General features: G+C 54.0%; 1 protein-coding gene and 1 long non-coding RNA gene across 14 annotated transcripts in view, besides 14 other annotated features; one reads left to right on the plus strand and one right to left on the minus strand.

The window, feature by feature from the left end:
- The window catches only part of PAX5 (paired box 5), a 201,000-nt gene extending 192,537 nt beyond the window's left edge, over nt 1–8,463 (minus strand). For all 13 annotated transcript variants that reach the window (NR_103999.2, NR_104000.2, NM_001280551.2 and 10 more), the window contains exon 1: nt 8,181–8,463. Coding sequence is in view for 9 of the 13 variants with exons in the window: in NM_001280555.2 (NP_001267484.1) it covers nt 8,181–8,226 (46 nt within the window). In the remaining 4 variants the exon portion in view is untranslated. The remainder of the gene's footprint in view (nt 1–8,180) is intronic.
- Nucleotides 1,733–2,192: a silencer, noted in NCBI's record as "silent region_19900". NCBI's record gives its function as "represses an Ori minimal core promoter by ATAC-STARR-seq in GM12878 lymphoblastoid cells {active_cell/tissue: GM12878}" and the evidence as "EXISTENCE:reporter gene assay evidence [ECO:0000049][PMID:35858748]".
- Nucleotides 1,867–2,161: an enhancer, noted in NCBI's record as "tiled region #11996; HepG2 Activating DNase unmatched - State 4:PromP, and K562 Activating DNase matched - State 4:PromP". NCBI's record gives its function as "activates a minimal TATA promoter and a strong SV40 promoter by Sharpr-MPRA in HepG2 and K562 cells {active_cell/tissue: HepG2 | K562}" and the evidence as "EXISTENCE:reporter gene assay evidence [ECO:0000049][PMID:27701403]".
- Nucleotides 2,140–5,528, plus strand: LOC105376031 (uncharacterized). Its single transcript, XR_929590.3, has 2 exons — nt 2,140–2,282; nt 3,115–5,528. It is a non-coding gene; the product is annotated as an uncharacterized LOC105376031 (long non-coding RNA).
- Nucleotides 2,964–3,638: an enhancer, noted in NCBI's record as "H3K4me1 hESC enhancer chr9:37028766-37029440 (GRCh37/hg19 assembly coordinates)". NCBI's record gives its function as "activates a minimal SCP1, AML or CMV promoter by ChIP-STARR-seq in primed H9 embryonic stem cells {active_cell/tissue: H9 hESC(primed)}" and the evidence as "EXISTENCE:reporter gene assay evidence [ECO:0000049][PMID:30033119]".
- Nucleotides 3,213–3,392: an enhancer, noted in NCBI's record as "active region_28372". NCBI's record gives its function as "activates an Ori minimal core promoter by ATAC-STARR-seq in GM12878 lymphoblastoid cells {active_cell/tissue: GM12878}" and the evidence as "EXISTENCE:reporter gene assay evidence [ECO:0000049][PMID:35858748]".
- Nucleotides 3,663–4,142: an enhancer, noted in NCBI's record as "active region_28373". NCBI's record gives its function as "activates an Ori minimal core promoter by ATAC-STARR-seq in GM12878 lymphoblastoid cells {active_cell/tissue: GM12878}" and the evidence as "EXISTENCE:reporter gene assay evidence [ECO:0000049][PMID:35858748]".
- Nucleotides 8,229–8,349: a silencer, noted in NCBI's record as "+326 to +451". NCBI's record gives its function as "orientation-independent negative regulation of transcription when located downstream of promoter" and the evidence as "EXISTENCE:reporter gene assay evidence [ECO:0000049][PMID:11223243]".
- Nucleotides 8,229–9,047: a biological region, named in NCBI's record as "PAX5 promoter region". NCBI's record gives its function as "regulatory_interactions: LOC108254684 | PAX5".
- Nucleotides 8,609–9,047: a promoter, noted in NCBI's record as "-374 to +67; region inferred as core active promoter". NCBI's record gives the evidence for it as "EXISTENCE:reporter gene assay evidence [ECO:0000049][PMID:11223243]".
- Nucleotides 8,616–8,795: a silencer, noted in NCBI's record as "silent region_19901". NCBI's record gives its function as "represses an Ori minimal core promoter by ATAC-STARR-seq in GM12878 lymphoblastoid cells {active_cell/tissue: GM12878}" and the evidence as "EXISTENCE:reporter gene assay evidence [ECO:0000049][PMID:35858748]".
- Nucleotides 9,126–9,175: an enhancer, noted in NCBI's record as "active region_28374". NCBI's record gives its function as "activates an Ori minimal core promoter by ATAC-STARR-seq in GM12878 lymphoblastoid cells {active_cell/tissue: GM12878}" and the evidence as "EXISTENCE:reporter gene assay evidence [ECO:0000049][PMID:35858748]".
- Nucleotides 9,876–10,035: a silencer, noted in NCBI's record as "silent region_19902". NCBI's record gives its function as "represses an Ori minimal core promoter by ATAC-STARR-seq in GM12878 lymphoblastoid cells {active_cell/tissue: GM12878}" and the evidence as "EXISTENCE:reporter gene assay evidence [ECO:0000049][PMID:35858748]".
- Nucleotides 10,569–10,618: an enhancer, noted in NCBI's record as "active region_28375". NCBI's record gives its function as "activates an Ori minimal core promoter by ATAC-STARR-seq in GM12878 lymphoblastoid cells {active_cell/tissue: GM12878}" and the evidence as "EXISTENCE:reporter gene assay evidence [ECO:0000049][PMID:35858748]".
- Nucleotides 11,619–11,698: an enhancer, noted in NCBI's record as "active region_28376". NCBI's record gives its function as "activates an Ori minimal core promoter by ATAC-STARR-seq in GM12878 lymphoblastoid cells {active_cell/tissue: GM12878}" and the evidence as "EXISTENCE:reporter gene assay evidence [ECO:0000049][PMID:35858748]".
- Nucleotides 12,197–12,774: an enhancer, noted in NCBI's record as "H3K27ac-H3K4me1 hESC enhancer chr9:37037999-37038576 (GRCh37/hg19 assembly coordinates)". NCBI's record gives its function as "activates a minimal SCP1, AML or CMV promoter by ChIP-STARR-seq in naive H9 embryonic stem cells {active_cell/tissue: H9 hESC(naive)}" and the evidence as "EXISTENCE:reporter gene assay evidence [ECO:0000049][PMID:30033119]".

A 16,780-nucleotide genomic window follows, 5' to 3' on the forward strand; every position in this document is an offset into this window, starting at 1 on the left:
TAATTGGCTTCCTCTTTCTTTCTTTCTTTTTCGTTTCTTATCCTCTTTTTTTAAAGGGGAGAAGCCATGAGAAAAGGCGTCCTGCAGAGAAGGACCCAATGGGGTCTTTAAGGGTCTCTGTATGAACTGGCCGGCTCCTAAGCAGAAGCTGAACTCAGAAACCGCTACTTCCTTGATTTTTCAAAGCCCCCTCCTCAACTCCAGGACGCCTTTGGAGCCCTAGCCCCGGTGTCCTCGCTTAGCTCTCAACCTCTTCCTCCACACATACAGACACGGGTCAGGGCCCCACTATCCCTCCAAGCGCCAGTCTGGATCAGCCCCATGGCTGAAAAAGGCGCCATCGGAGTAGGGGTGTGGGGCGCTGTCTGAGACTCTGACTGGCCTCTCCCTACAACTTACTGCCCTCCAACTGGCCTGGCCCGGAGCCCTCTACGGGTCCAAGCCAGGGTTCTCCGAAAGAGCTGAAATGTCGCCGCCGGAGCCTTGAAAGGCTGCAGCTCGCTGCCCAAGCTACGCGTTGCCGGAGGCGGGATTCCCAGGTGCCTCAGCCCGGGCGGCCAAGTGCGTTGTTTCAGGTCCCCTGCCTGGGATCCCTGCACTTTGCAAAGTTAGCTGCGCGGCTGCAGAGGTCCGAGATCCTTCCGGCCTTAGTACCTGACCCACGGTCCGGCACCCCCAACCCGGTCCCGGCGGGAGAGTGAGAGAAGCGAGCTCGCCGCCTACTTACTATGCATGGATGCAAACGGGTCGTGCTTACAGTGTATTTCCATCGGGGCGCTCCAGACTGCAGGCCGGCCCACGCCGCCGCCTCCCGGCGCCAAGGGGCTGCCCAGGGCGGATAGGGAGCCTCGCCACCAGGCCAGGCACTGTGCGAGCTGGGCTCAGAAAACACTGCTGGAGCTTCGGGGTCTCTCTCAGAGCCTCCCTGCTGGAGACCGCCCGGAGCTGCGCGGAGAGGCGGGAAATGGTGCTAGCGCACCCGGGCTAGGAGCGGGTGCCCAACTCCGGCTGGCTTCCCTCCCTGGCTGGCTCAAGCAGCAGCTCCGGGCCCAGCCCGGGGTAGCTGCGGCCAAGGCGCCCGCGGCTTCGGGGGCATAGCGTAGGGGCCCGCCTCCGGGACAGCCAGCAGCCCCCGGCCCCAGGAAGGAGCAGCTTTGAGGAGGCCGCCGGAACAATCGGCCCTTGACTTCACTCAGGGGGCGGAGAGACCCGGGGGCTGCCAGGCTGGTTCCGCGGCCTCGATGCTTCTGAGGTCCCTCCTCGACCCCTCGGTCTCCGCCAGATCCTTTCTTTCTCTGCTTCTCCGAGTCTCTGGGGCTCGGACTTGCCCCCTCCGCCTCTCTCCAACTGGCTCTCCGACGTCTCGGACGAAGTTGCAAAGAACTTCCTCTCCGGCAGCGCGGGGTCCTGGCGGGTTTGGAGATGCTTCCGCCCCTGACGCTGGGGCCGCGACTCCGGAGTCCCCGGGAGCGTGCAGCCCTCCAACACTGAGACCCGCTGCCTTCAAAGTTCCCGCGGCCCCCGCTGCTCGCCCATCGCTGGGACCAGGAACGGGGACACCAGCGACGGACTCTTCCTCGCCGGGGTGTCTACCTCGTGCCAACCAACTCTTCGAGCCCCGCCGCCCTCCCTCGTGGGTCTGATTCCACTGTCTTTCCGCTGCCTCTTCCGGGACGGCCGCCGTGCCTGCCCCAGGCGTGGAGTGAGGAACAGAGGAGAGAGCAGAGGGTCCCAGCCACCAAGGCCGCCGGGGCTGCCGGGGCTGAGATGGAGCCGCAGTCGGCTCTGACTGCCTGCGTTGCCGCCGCCGCCGCCGTCGCTAGCCCTCCGCCTGCTCGGCGCGCACAGTGCGCCACCGCGCCGCCCCGGAGCCGCTTTCAGGACCCGCTGCGTGTGGACAGCGCCGCCCGGGGCTCAGCTCCCTCCGGGCGGGGGCGGGGCGGGGGCTAACCTGCCAATCACGCTCCACCAAGCCAATCAGAGTGGCGTCAGCCGGCCCTGGCCCGAAACACCGCCCCATTGGCTAAGCAGCCCACAGGCTCCGCCTGATTAGCGGACACCTGGGCAATGGGAGAGAATGGGGGGCGGGGCCCAGGCGGCGGCGCCACGTTCATTGACAAACGCGCTGGACTAAGGCCTAGTGGATCGCGGCTGTGGGGAGGGGAAAGGGGCCCACGCAGTGCCTGGAGAGTCCCGCTGCGGGTCCCACGCGGGCTGGACCTCCCCACAGCGATGCTGGGATCCTGGGACGCTCTCAAGGCTTGAGAGCAGTCGATTGAAGGGTGAGAATGGGGGAAGTCTCCAAAAAAACCAAAAAACAAAAAATGTATGTTGGAGGAAGACAAGGAGCGCAGTAGGGATCCTGTACCATCAGGCTCGTGATGGGATCGGATTGTGTGCATCGGAGTGTGTGCATATCTGCCAGTTCTGACCTCACTTTCCTCTTCTGTAAAATGGGCAGAGTGGGGTTAACTAGATTTTACTGAAGGCTCCTTCCACGGAAATATTTCCTAATTTTATTTCCTAATTTTATCAAGTACCTACTAAACCACCACTGGCTCCTCGTCGTCCACCCTCCTCCCTCACTCCACCTGCAGGGCCCTCATTGCTGCATTAACGAAAGGCAGAGACGTTGGGGGAAGGGGGAGAATATCTCACACTCCTTTAAAGTTAGTAACTGGGGCGCACCAGGGCGCACCTGGGTGGAGGGGCTAAGGCTTTGGGCCAGGTTGCCCAAGCAGAGTGGCTGGCCCTCTTTCCTGCCTCAGATCAGGAACTGCCAGAGGCTTTGGGAGCTGGTGTTGCGCTTCTGTCCACCGGAGAAATTCCGCACCCGGCTCAAGGCTTCTTGAGAACCGAATGAGCCAAGTCGCGTCCAGGGCTAATAAGGGTCCCTGAAGCGGGCGGGTGGACAGGCGCATTCTATCTGCAAGGGTCAAGCAAAGCGGCCAGGCGCGCTGCAATGCGGCAGCTTCCAGTTGATGGGAAACTGACCTTCCCTCTACAGGGGAAGTTCCTGTCCCTATGTAGACAAAATGGATGGATTTGTAGCAGAACTCTCTTGCTACACAAGGGATCTTTGACTAGCGAGTCCGCTTCTTTGTGGGTTTTAAGGCTCTGAGACAACAATCAAAGAAACTGGACCTTGAAAAGGAAGCGTGTGACAGTCATTCTTCACCCAAGAAGCTATAGTTCTGTGAGCCATCTGGGCCCTGGCTCAAGAACGACGCTGAGGATTCCCTTGCCCCAGCAACTCATGGGAGTGGTCCGAAGACTCAATTTCTATTTCATGAGTGATGATCCGCTAATATTAAACATAAATCCACAAAACAAGGGCTTTGAGATGCCTGCTCCAGGACTGGGCTTGTAAGGAAGAGTACAGGCTGATCATGAGAGGATTCCTGGGTTATCCTCTTGTTTTATTCTCTGCCTCGGTTTCCCTTCCTCTGCCTTCTCTCTACGCATGCTCTACTTCTCAAACTCCTACACTGGGGTCGACTCTTGGGCCCACCTTCTGTCCCTGTTCCACACCCAGCTGTCCCTGACCAGTAGACAAGTTTCCGGCGCTGACACCCGTCCCCACCCCCCACCAGGGCACAGCTGCGGAAAACGGCCCCAGGCGGGACTCTGGGGACCCAGGAGGCTGCAGTGCGCGCCGGGGTGGAGTGGCGGCGTTATCTCTTCTTTGTCTGGAACCCCGCCTGTCCGGATCTTCCCCTTTCACCCCCGGCCTTGGAGCAGGAAGATCGCAACAGCAGAGAGGGACTGGGATGGAATAGACTTCCTGCACTGGCTTCACCCGATGGCGCCCAGTGGGTCGGAAATAACCAGAATTCAGATCCTCGGCCCAGACTCAACATGGCGGCTTGCACACCTACTGGAGAGGCGGGAGTGCGGGACGCCCTGAGGGATGCAGCCAGTGACACCCCCACCCCCAGCCTCTCTTGCTGAGCTCAGGCCTACAAACCCAGGTTCTCTAGATTCTTAGAGCTAAAAGGGCCTCGAAGCTATGCTTTCTCCATTTCACGGGTGCAGAACCCGAGGCCCAGAGGCAGGATACGACTTGTCCAAAGTCACACAGCAAGTCTGGGGTAGAAGAAAGGCTGCGGGCTGGAAACCTTTCTCAAAAGCGCCTCTCCAGAGCCGCTCTCGGGATGGTGGGGGAGGGGCGATGCTGCCAAATCGAAGAACTCGGCTGGAATATGCCCGCACACGCAGGTTTTCCTTCGGATACCCGTGAGGCTTGCATAGAATCCCCGGGGCACGGCCCGAGCAGGAGTAGCGCCGATTCTCCCTTTCACACAGTAGGTGTTCGGCTTCGGGACAGTGTTCTGCTGCGTGGCACACACAGGACCCGTCTTACCTGTGCACCCAGAGCAGCCCCTTCCCGCAACTCTCGGCGTTCTTGGGGGAAGGAGTTTCCCTCTGGATAGGGGTGATTCATCACCGCCCGAGCGGGCGGCCTCTGGGAAGTTCCAACCCCAAAAGGCGCGACCGGACCTCATACCGTGACCACCTAGCCCAGCCTTACAGGTCACCAAACGACAGCCCAGAGAGGTTACGTGACTAGCTCGAGGCTGCACAGCAAGTCCATGGTGGAGCCGGGCTACTGCGCCTCAGTCCTGTCTCTGAACGCCCACGAGCCGCAGCCTGGGTCCAGGAGAGCGAGACTAGCAGCTCTCACCGCGGCTCTCAACGCAGTCGGGCCTCACTCTGATCTACAGTGATGCGCTTTCTTTCTCCCAGTAACAGGGCTTTGGGCCGGGCCCTGTGCTAGGCGCTGGGGGCAGGAGACCGCGAAAGGAAACTATCCAGGAAGAAACTCAATTTATGTGAACCGAATTGCCTTTGAAAGTTTTAGTACTGAAAGACAGCCCATTGAGAATAATGTGTGAGAAGCCAGAGACCTCGTTTCACTGGGGACACACCCCCTCCCGGCTTCCCTTTCCACGCCTCCCAGCGCACTGCATTACCGTGGCTTCAGGATGTGGGGGCTGCTACAGTGTTCTAGTAGCCTGACATCGACTCTCTCAACCCAAGTCCAGCCCATTTCCCTGTTCTTGCTTCTGACAAAGTGAGGCCCAATAGGGCTCAGACTGGTTGCTCAGTTCTGGAAAGATCAGGGATGCTGCCAGCATGGCTGTCTCAACCCACTGAGTTCTGTCTAAACTTCATTTTTAAAAAATAAAAAAAATTAAGTATCAGAGGGAAAGAAATTGACCTGAAATTATACAGCAAGTGGAGGCACAGCAGATTCCTGCATGATTCCTGCCCCTGGATCAGGAGTCTGCTCTACTTGACCTGTCCCTGTTTTCAGGAGTTCTTGAAGAGGATGGAGAAAAAATGAGAATTTAACCAGGTTTTTCAAGAATCATGTAAAATCACCTTAGTCGGGGTGTGTTATCATTACCAGCATGTCCTGCAGGCCAGGGGCGCTGGGACTACTCTCTCTCCCAAAGACTTGAGACAGGCAGCCCCTTCTAAAGCCTCTGCTTCCCCGTTTGTTTAATACAGAGAACAAATCCTGAGATGTGACTTCTTAGGCTCTGTGAGATGAAGCTTCATGGATGGGGGTTATTAATATCTATCACTCCATTCCAGGCTCATTCCAGAACTGTGAGACTGGATGTCAATGCCCAGTGGGAAAGTACTCAATCCATCCAGGTCTGCCCGGATCTAAGGACTCAAGGGTTCCCATGGCAAGGAGAGACTACTACTTGTCCAAGTAGTAGTTTTTCTCCAAGGGGGTCCATGGAGAGAGGGGGGAATCTGTCTCTTCTCCCAGCAGGAACAGGAGGTCTAAGGGCAGAGAGGTCACCTTCCATTCCTATTCCCTCCCTTACTCATGCTTTATGATCTCGAACAAGTCCCTTCCCCTCTCCGAACCTCTGAGTTTCCTTTCCCTACAGCAAGGAAGACATTAGAGGAGAAGGTCCTTAAGTGGCTCCCTGCTTAGTGTTGACCTGACCTTATTTTGGGCTTAGAGCCAGAAGGACACACTCCCTCCCCATTGGGCAGATAGGGAAACTGAGGTTGGGGTAAGAAATGGAATATGGTTCTGAAGGAAGAAAAAGGAAGTCTATTGGCCCATGAAATACCCAGAAGTTGGGAGAAGGAAGAAGCTCTCATAGGAACCAGACCTGGACAACCCTTTGAGCACCAGCTTGGACAGCTTCTCAGCTTCCCTCTCTTCTCCAGCCCTGACCCAGGCTGGAGTGGACAGATGGAAGTGCAGTCTCACTTGAACTGTCGCCCTTTTCCAGGCAGGCAGCTCTTCCCCAACCCATCAGTGAGGAGGGGGCGTGGCTCTCTAGATTTTAAGGCTTGGCCAGCCTAGGGCTCCCGTATCTCACCCCACCCCAAGCCCCACCCAGTCCAGCTATGCAGAGGAATAAAATGCTTTATTGATTAAATGATTATTCAGGCAATTGAACTAATCAAAGAGCCCATCGACCGCCATGAATTACATTCTTCTACACAGCTTGTCGGGAGAGCCAGCCCGAGGACTGCGCAGACCCTCTCCATGACACTCACACATCCCCGCCTCATTCCCCACACATACACAACACCCACTTCCAGGCTCAGGTCTCTCTGAAAGTCCATCTGCTGAGAAGCCCACTGCCAGGGAGAAGGGCCTTCTGAGAATTGAGGATGGAGAAGAGGAGTTTCCAGGTAACTTTTCCTGAGCCCTCATCCTGGGAGCACTCTTCTGCCTCAGATCTCTGCCCTCACTTCTCTCCAGCCACAATTTTGGAAACACAGTTATGCCCCAGAAGTTGTCCTGGGCTTGGGGTCTAAGTTTATCCTTTTTGCTCTTAGGCTTGTATTTGAGGCTGGAGGAGAGATGGGGGTTCTCAGAGGGCACAGAGATGGGGGAAGGGGGCTTCTTGCCAGGGCCAAGAGAGTGTTTGTGTGGGAGTTACACAGTGGCCTAGTGAGTGAAAGAGGCCCCCCATACCTGATTCATGCCTCAGGGCAGATGGAGGCCTACTGTCCCTGCTATCTCCTCTCAGACATAAACACATCCTGCTACCTACTTCTCAGGCCTGTGGGAGGCACATGGGGACCTAAGCCAGGGAGGCCTGTGCGCATACAGGCCCTAGAGCTGAATGCCCAGACTATGCACATGCATCCACCCACTGTGCTCTCCTCCACTGGTGCGGCACCCACAGGATAAAACCTGAGGACACAGTGTGTGTGTGTCTGTGTGTACACACAAATACACACGCCAGTGTCAGAGGCTTGTCTAGGTGAAAGTGAATGTAGGCTGGGGGTCCCTAGAAATGTCACAACTAACCCTACAGGTGTCCGCTGTCATCTGCAAGGTTGTGCCTGCCACAGGAGACCTGTTTGTACAAATGGTAGCCTGAACAGTGCTCACTGCACACCAAGAGGCTGCATGCCCTGAATTCACACCTTCATTCCTGGTCCTATCTCCCAATAGAATGGACACTGGGCCTTACAATGCACATGCTAAACACCACGGATCTCCATAGGCCCCAGACCCACGTCTAGGAGTTTGCCTAGAGACACAATGTGAACATTGGCGTGTATGCATCGGACAGCCGTTGACATCCAAAAATGGAAAGGTCAGTGTAGCCACTTCTTTCTCACATCCAAAAATCACTTGGGATATAACAGGTGAATGCAGACCCTTTAAATAGTGGATGTACACTCAGATATTTCCGAATTACATAAATAACACTCATAGTAGACACACATTTTGGATACCCAAAAGAATATACACAAGTACTAACTTATAAACACACACGAATACCCCACGAGTATAAAGATACACACACACACACACACACACACACACAGGCAAACAACTTTTGGACACAAACTCATATATTTTTACATCTTTTAAAAATACATATACTGTAATGAACACACTGAGTCCCTTATATAAACACACAGGCCCTAACTTGCAGACCCCCGGAAGGACGCCAGCGTGAACATTCAGAAACAGAGAAAAACACAGACAAACTCACAGATATTTGGACTGATGCAGAAGTGTGTGAACAGATAGGTGAAAAAACATAACAAACACGCCGCAGTTAGACAGTCTCTACGAAAATGCGGCGCGCCCCCTCCTCCTCCAGGGTCACCCTGCGTGGGGACCAAGGCCTGGCCGTGTCCCGGAGTTTGCACATCTGGAGCCCGTATCGCGGTCCTACCTGTCCTGCTGGTCCGAGGAGTCGGATAATTTTTCTCTAAATCCATTTTGATTTTTCAGGACTTGATGGAATGGACAGGGAAAAGTTTCCACTTTTTTGTGCCTTTTTTTTTCTTTTTTTTTTTTTTTTTTTTTTTTTTTTGGTGCCAGGGGCCGCTCACAGGTCGGAATAATTCAAGCCTTCCGCTCCCCCGCCGAGCTGGGGTAGCTGATCACTGAGCTGAAACTAAACGTTTTAGGTGGAAAAAAAGCGTCCGAAGGCACCGTGAAATGATTAAGGAACTAAAGAGCTTCTCGCCATGTGAGATCATGTCCTGTTCTCGCCAACATCACAAGATGTCCCCAGACACGCCGCGCCCCCAGCGCGCCGCCCCACACTGCCGGCCCGGAGCGAGGAAAGGGTAGGCGCTGCGCGGCCGGGCCTGCTCAGCGCGCCAGACGTGGCGGACCCGGCCCGGCCGGAGTAGAGCGGGAAGCCGGGAGAGCAGCAGTGCTGCTGCCGCGCCGCCCCAGACTTTTATAGGGGTTGGGGGGAGGGAAGGAAGGCTTCAGCCTGCGCCGGGCGCTAGCCAGCGCACCTACGGGAAGGGGCAGACCGAAGCGGAGCCCGGGAGCCCGGGTCTTCCAGCCGCACCTTCTATTAAGACATGCGCTTGGGGGTCGCGGCCCTCTGCGCTGTGCGCGGGGCCTGTGACATCTCCATGTGCAAACCCCGCTGCTTAGACGAGCGCAGGCCGGGTTTTTGTTTTTGAAGAAATTAACTGCTCGGCCAAGCAGGTGCTTTTGAAAGGGGTTGCAAAGGCTGGCAGTGTTGCCAGGCACCGAGGCGACGTTCCGGTTTACTCCGATTCACCCCTAGGGCGGCGCCCGACCCCAGGGTTCCCAGCCATCCAACCCCCACCCCAATTTGTTGGGGTCCTGACTATTGCTGGGCCCCTGACCCTAGGGCAGCGCCAGATCCCTAAAGCCCCCAGGTCCCATCCAGTCTTCTAGTCCCAGAACCCCTCCCCACATCAAGTTCCATTCTGGCCCAGAGCATGGAGGTTAAGCTGTGAAATACTGGAGATGAAATCCGGGCTTCCGCTTTGGAGCACCCGGGCAGAGCAGAACATCTCAGTAGTTTCTGGAGATTGGCGGGAGTTCCAGACACCTTACCCCGGCCCATAAGTGGAATCGCATTGCCCTCGAGCCCTGAGACGTTGTGGAGTCCCAGAGCCCCAGGACTTGATTCCAGAGAGGAAATCAGATCCACAGAGACCGAGCAGAGGTGTGGCATGTCCAGCCCTCTCTCTTCGGGCCAGACTCAAGCCTCCCCTCCCTGTTCCCCTCCCCAGCCTTGAGTTAGTTCAGCTGCTGGGCCTAGCCACTGAAAGCCTGTGGGGCCCTGCAGCGGGGTGGTCGCAGGGGAAAGGTTCTCCAGGGCGGGGGAGCGCTCCGTAGGAGGACTCCTGGCCCGCCGGACAATGGCAGTTTTGGAGAGTGAATCGTCCTCAGCAAGAGTGTTGTTTGTTTTTTGGAGGGGGTGGTCACGAGGCTGGGTCGCAACCTAGGGGGAAGAGCCTAGAGCTCGAGGAAAGGGGGGCCCCCGGCGGCAACTGGACATCACATATCCACTGAGCAGATTTCGCCACAATCGGAAATGTGGCTGTGGATTCCCGGGCGGCCCCCCCACCAAGTGGTCTGCGCAGTTCCCCAGCGCCGCCTCCTCCCTGCAGCCTGCGGGCCCGTGTCCCTACCCCGAGATTTGATTTTTGGCCATCTCCGAGTGCTCGACTCTTTCCCTCCGCAGCCCAGCCCCAGCCCAGGCTTCCCGCCCTCCCGCCTCGCCCGCGCCGGGAGGCAGCGCCTGGGAGGAGCGGCCTGTCCGCGCCTGGAGATCAAAAGCCCTCCCGGAATTGACATTTCACCCCGGGCTGGGGGCGGGGGGTGTTGGTGTTTTGTTGTTGTTGTTGTTTCCATTTAGAGGGCTTGTTTTGTTTTTGTTTGTTTTCTGTGAGTTTTCATTTTTCCATGGGATATTCTTTTGTTTCGGGTGTTTTGCGTGTTGTTTTTTCGTGGGATTGATTTTAGCGGGTTTTGCTCTGTAAGTCCTGGTCTTTGGGGTGAGTTTTGATTTTGTGTAATTTTGTACTTTGTCCTTGTAGGCTGTCTTTTTGTGTGTCGTTTGTAAGGCTTTTCCTTCTCCGCGGTGTTTAGATGTGTTTTGATTTGGTGTGAGTGGGTGTCGTCTGTGTGTGTGTTGCCTTAGGGAATTTCGTGTTGTGTGTGTTTTGTTTCCTTCGATTTGAATTTTATTTTTTTGAACTGTACGTTTTGGTGGGGGATCGGGTTATATTTTCATGTGTTGTCTTTAGTTTTTGTGTTTGTGAGATGCGCTGGTGAGAGTTTGCGTGTGTATTTTGGCTTTTGTGGGGCTTTGGGATTAGGGAGGGGACATCAGCCGCTACTCCGTTCCTGCCCGCACCCATGAAGGGCAGAGGATTAGGCCAAGCATCACGAATCGTAGGTTCGCCGTGCTCCGCCGCTTCGCGCTCTGGACGCTCGAGACCAGCGGGAAACAAATGTGGTTCCCGAGGGGGCGCCCGCTGGTCGTCAAAACCTCGCGGGCCCGGAGGCGCCGCTGCTGGGTCAGAATCGCAGAGCCCCCCTCGCGGGGTACCGAGGCCCAGCCGCCGTCCCCTTGCCCACCCTCTCCCCTGTGAGTCGGTCTCCCCTTGCGCCTGGCCAGCATGCTTCGGACCGTCCGGACTCCCGCAGCGTTGGCCCAAGGGGCGGCTCCCCTCGGCGGAGCAGGTGACGAACCACTTCGGAGGACACGGAATTGACACTGCGGCCCTAGAGATACGGGACAAGGGGCCAGAACGCGGGGAGTCTAGGCTCAGATCGGAGTCGGGATCCCGGGAAAATCCCCCATCTCCCTTGCCCGCAGCCCTAGAATCCCAGAAACCCAACTCCGCGCAGCTTTCGGTTTGGAGAGCCCGCCCTGGTTTGCAAGCACAGATACATGTGCCCACACCCGAACACACGCAGACACCGCCAGAGAGCGAGACAGCGAGCGGGCGCCTCCGTAGCAGCGGCCTGCGGGGCGGAACCGGAGCTGGCGCCGCCTCAAGGGGAAACCGAACTGTAGTGACCGGAAATGTCCCCAGGACAGAATAAGCCATTCCTTCTGTCCACGTTGCCAGGACTTCTCCAGCTCAACACACCTTGGTTTGTTTAATGTTACACGAGGGAGAAGATTTAGAGGCAGAGACACATGCTGGCTCAATCGGCGAGGAAATACGAGCAGAGTCTAAACAGAAAGAAATATGGAACGGGGGGAGACTAGACTGTGGGGAAGGCAAATTGGAGGCCCAGAAAAGGGGCTGGTGCGGAAGCTCCTCCAGGCCCCTGGGCGCTCTGGCATTCTGTGAGAAGGAGAAAGCAGAAGCCGAGAACAGAGAGTGACAGGAAAAGAAAAGAGACGCAGAAGGGGTTGGCCTAGGCACGCTGCGAGCTGCCCTCCAGCTAAGACGCTGCGGGCAAGGGAGGGGGAGGCCGACATCGCCAGGCGAGGGGCCAAGGTCGGGCTCTTTAACTCAGCCAGGAAACATCGTTGGGGGCTCCAGGGCTCGTGGAGCCCGAACTGGGGCTCATTTCCGGCCCGATGCCCCTCTTCCCCAGACCCCTAGCCCGGAATCCAGCAAAGGCTGGGCCATCGCCGTCCGCCACTGGGCCTCCCTCTGTGCGAGCCCTGGGAGAAGCCTCAGGGAACGACTCTGGCACTGGGGCTCGGCCCCGGAGCTAGCGCAGAGCGTGGGTGGGAGTCGACATCCAGGCAGGAGGCAAAGAAGAGGCCCCGCCCTAAAGCCGAGGGCCCAGTTCTTCGAAAGCCTGTGGCCGGAGCTGGACTCACAGGATTCGGGGTCCGTACAGCGCGCACGTGGTACCGCATCTTCGGCAGGCGGCGCCCCTAATGCCCAGCCCCGCCCTGCTTCGTTTGCCGGGCCTGAACTGTGTCAGCATTGAGGGTGGACGCCGAGTCGCGGCGAGTTGGTCCCTTGCGGTATAAACTTGGGGCTTCCCTAGGGGCGGTGCCGGGATGGATGGGGGCGCCTCTCCACCTGCAACTCCCCCAGCGCAGAGCGCAAAAAGTGCACATCGCGGGCCAGCCGTCGCCTCGGGGTTTCAGGCGGCGCCCGGGGCAAAAAGGAGCTGAGGATTGGTTTGGGTCAAAACACCCATTTCAGTTGGCAGTGGGGTCCTCTGCGCCTACAGGGCTTCGAGCTCCGGGTGCGGGCTCACTGGGGCACCATGTGCCAGCGACTCGCCACCCGGAAATACTTGGGTTGCGCTAGAATACGCAATGGGTCTGTGTTCGGGTAACCTGGTGCTCATGGTGGGTTATTACTATTGTTGTTTTACTTTACTGCTTTTCTTGCTTTCATTAGAAATGTTACTGAGAGAAGCCTCAAAGAGCGCAGACCTGGGGTCGTTTGGATGGGTTCATTTCAACTCAAATCCACTAATTCAATTCAGTTCCACGACTAGTTTCCAGCGCACAGGTACACATGGTAGACGTCAAGTGTATGCCGTATGCATATGCACAGAGACGCTATTTGAAGGCAACTCTTGGAGAATTTTGAGATAAAATTCACTCTCCTGGAGTTACATTCGCAATATATGAATATGGAAAACAGGCAATCAGTTGTATTTAAAATTTGCCAACACGTCCCAGCAATCCACTCTCACCTAAGAATCCAAAATGGGGCATTGAAAAGATTTACTGGCATTCTGGTTGTTTAATATTGAAAACAAGCGTAAATCAGTTCATTTCTCTTTATATTTCTTTTCAAATTTAACAATACCATAATAAGTGTAAGTAATAAAACCATATTTTGCTAAAGAAAGTTTGCACATAGGATGCTTTATTTCTATCAGTATTTATACGATGTTCTGTTGGCTCTCCTCACCCCCTTTTCTTCTAGTTCACCGTGTAATGTGAGCTTTAAATATTCATGCGTCGGCCCAGACTTACATTTATTTAATGTGTTTTAAACTAATAACATTTTAATGTGATATAATTTGATTCCATGAAGTACTGGAACATAAAAAAGCCTACTGCACAAGCGATTTTGAGTGAGGGTGAGTGCACAAGCTAAACGATTCTTTTAGTTTTGGACGCAGATCAGAGTGTTAAACGGAAGTGAAGCGCGCCTTTAAGTAAGCCCTTTAATATTCTCGTTTCTTCATTCTCCATTTTTCTGTAATAACTTCAGAGCCGTGGCAGAGGATCACCCCAGGATTGGGGTGCTTTCCCTGGAGCCTGCCTTGTGAACCTGCAAATCGCCAAGTGAATACCTCAGCCTCAGGGCAGGTTGTGGGCTGATTTTTATTTTTTCTTTTGGGAGGGAAGTCTTTTGGGAAGGTCAGGGGGCTACAGGATATGAAGTCTGGATTTGAGAACGTGCCGGAAATAAAACTGTGCTCTAAAAATCTTTCAGGTTTGCTGCTGATTAACTATCTTTAGCAACCCAGCCCAGAGTAAGATGGAAAAGATGAGCTACACTTGGGCCAAAGTGCCTTTGAGATGAGCCCTGAAGCCAGTCTCAGTGTTTAGCCATCACCAGAGACACTTCCCAAAGCCTTAACTTTTCCTTCACTTTGTACTGGAGGTGGGGGCCTTCTGGCACTGAATGCAAATCTACCAAAAAAAAAAAAATCCTCTACACAAAGAAAAATTAAAGATATCCCCTAATTTATTTTCGGTCAGATGAAAACCATCTGAAATATCTAATATGAGGAGCTTATGGACATAGAATCAGAAAGTCATTATCCCCCTAAATCATGAAAATATTTCTAATGGAAAATCATGACATTGTATCCTCGTTATAAACACATAGTGTGGACCTATCACATAAGGAAACTCCGTCAATCTACTATTACCTAAGAATCCAAAATGATACATTGGAAAGATTTGCAGTCTGAGGACAAAATATTCATACGAAATACGTACCAAAATAATCATGCTAAATTGTTCATACTGAAATGCTGCTATCCTTTCAACTAAAACAATCTTTAGAACAAGTATTGGCAATTTTCTGGACAGATCTTTATAAATCTTCCCAGCAAAACAATTAAGAAATATGTACTCAGATTTTATTTTTACAGGATATATGTGTGTATATGTATATATATTTTATGTATGTATATATTTACATATACATGCGCGTGTGTGTGTAAAGTTCTCTACCATAGGCAGGCTGAGAGTTCAAAGATGGGCTTTTCCTTGTTAGGTACAAATTCTTATAAACAAAGTATGAGATGGAAACAGTTTAGTGAATTTTTTCCTAATTTGGTACAGCAGTTGGTGTCTCATTTCTCATGCAATTTGCACGTAGACTCATGTACCCCATGAAGTGACAAAAGAGAATCAGGGATGAAAACCTGCCAGTGTCTGCAGGCGGTGCCTCAAAGCGCTCTTTTGGACACACGTTCTTGGTGGTGGGGAGTTTGCTGCCTCTAAACCAGGCCTGACCTTTTGTCTTTTGACCTCTGATGCATGAAATTAGGTAGCAAAAGAAAATGAAGAAAAGGATACAAAAACATGGAAAAACAGCCCTCCTTGACAATAGTCATTGTATCAGATCATAGCAGAGCTGCCCTACATAGCCCAAAGTGCTTGTTTATAAGGCTGCGGGTCTTCCTGGCCACTGGGTTCCTGTTCTTCTTTGTGGGCAATCTGCATTTGTTGGGGGAGGGACTACGCACTCTTTTTAATTAAGCTCAGAGCTGGGTTTTGTCTTGGCTCCTTTCACCAAAGCCCGTTTAGCGAGCGTTTGGCCCCTCCATTTCCTCTGAGGTCTTCTGTGTAGGCTGGGTGCCTGGGGGTACCACCTGGGGCAGCTTCCAAGACCCAAAGGAAAACTCTGCCCCTTCTGGCCACCCAGGCTGAAGCTGAATCCCAGCTGGCGTGGAGGGGAGAGGGTGGCAAGGGGTGGGGTCATGCTCCTTGGTCCTGAAGGAACACACACCCCAAGTGAATAGACTTCCACTCTTTCTCCAAACCCCGTCAGAAAGCCTGAGTCACTGGTGTTCCCTGCCCCCTCGGCCTAAGGAGTCAGCTCAGTACCCTCCCCTGTCATGAGAGCCAGGGAGGAGGGCAAGAACATTTGCAGAGATGCCTTCAGCAAGCCTCACACAACATCCTTTGATCCTCGAAGCCACCCTGGAAAGGGGTGCACAGCCCTGGGTTAGGAGCCACAGTACAATGGGCACCAGGCCCCGTCCAGAAGGGAAACAGGCCTCGACTTAGATGGTAAGAGAGTGAAGATGTGTGCAAGCAAGAGAGATCTGGGAGAACTGTGCCAGGTACTGAAGCCAGACTCTGGAAAGGGGGAGGCTGGAGGGGACATCTCTAGAGGGTGACCTGAGATGAGTGTTGAAGGGTAAGTAGGACTTTGCTAGATAAATAAGGAGCAGATGGCATAACTAAGATCTGCACTTTGCAGAAGAGGCTACTGGATATCAACATACAAGCAAAATACTGAAAAAAGAGCTGCCCAAGGGTTTGGGAACAATGTAGGAATGGCAAATGCTTCTGAGGGAAGGAATTCACAATGGTTTGAGGAACGGGACAAAGGAAGGAAGATGGCTAGAGTGGGCAGGCCCCTGCTGTACCTCATGAAGATGGCCAGAGCAGCAGCTAAGACATATTCTCTCCTTACCATATGGAGTAAATGGACCCACAGGCCAAAGGGAAGAAATAAGAGAAAGGCCCTAGGACCAAAGGAGAGAAACATAGCAAAGCTTACTCTCCATCAGTTTTTTGGATTTTTTTTTTTTAACCTTCTCCCCTGGGAAGTTTGCACAAAGTTCCCTCAACAACCTCAGTCTGGAAAAGCAAACCAACCACCCTCAGCCTGGAATGCTCCTCATGAACTTTACCAAATCCTCTCAGGCTGTAAAGACCCCCCCCAGAGCCGCAGCTGGTGGCCACCATTCTCTGCTCAGGCCACGTAGCCCTGAGCTCACCCTTCCTGTTACCTTATGGGTTGGAGATGAAGTGTCTGTGTCCAGTTCTCACCACTCCTCCTAGTCTCCTGGCTCCCATGGGCAGGACTTCTCCTTTGGGCACCAGCTCTTCTGGAAGTAAGTCATTCTGTTCCCTTATAACAGTAGCTTCTACACTTCAGTGTGAGAAGAATCACATGCAGATCCCTGGGCCCCAGCCCCAGAGAGCTTGGTTTAGTGCTATGAGACCGAGCTTGGAACCTGAACGTCTAGTAACTTCCCCAGGTGAGTAGGGTGCAGGAAGTACCTGGACCATCCATTGAGAAACACTGGCTTAAAAGCTTTTTCAGAGCAAGCACTAAGCCACTGTGATTCACTGACCCCTGCCCCACTCACCAGGTCTACACCTGTCTAAACACCCTGAACGAGAATTTGTGAGGCTGGCAACATCCAGATCCCCAAAGTATCAGCAGCCATATTGACAAACCATTCCTGATTTGCCCCAAAAGGACCAAAAAAAGTCTGACTTTGGTAATGGATGTGCCCCCTTCCTCTCATTTTAATTCAATTCTATTCAGCAAAGACAGCCTTGTGCTTAGTCCTGGAGGG

The sequence above is a fragment of the Homo sapiens genome, chromosome 9 (genome assembly GCF_000001405.40).
Source record: "Homo sapiens chromosome 9, GRCh38.p14 Primary Assembly".
In the NCBI taxonomy this organism is placed as follows: domain Eukaryota; kingdom Metazoa; phylum Chordata; class Mammalia; order Primates; family Hominidae; genus Homo; species Homo sapiens.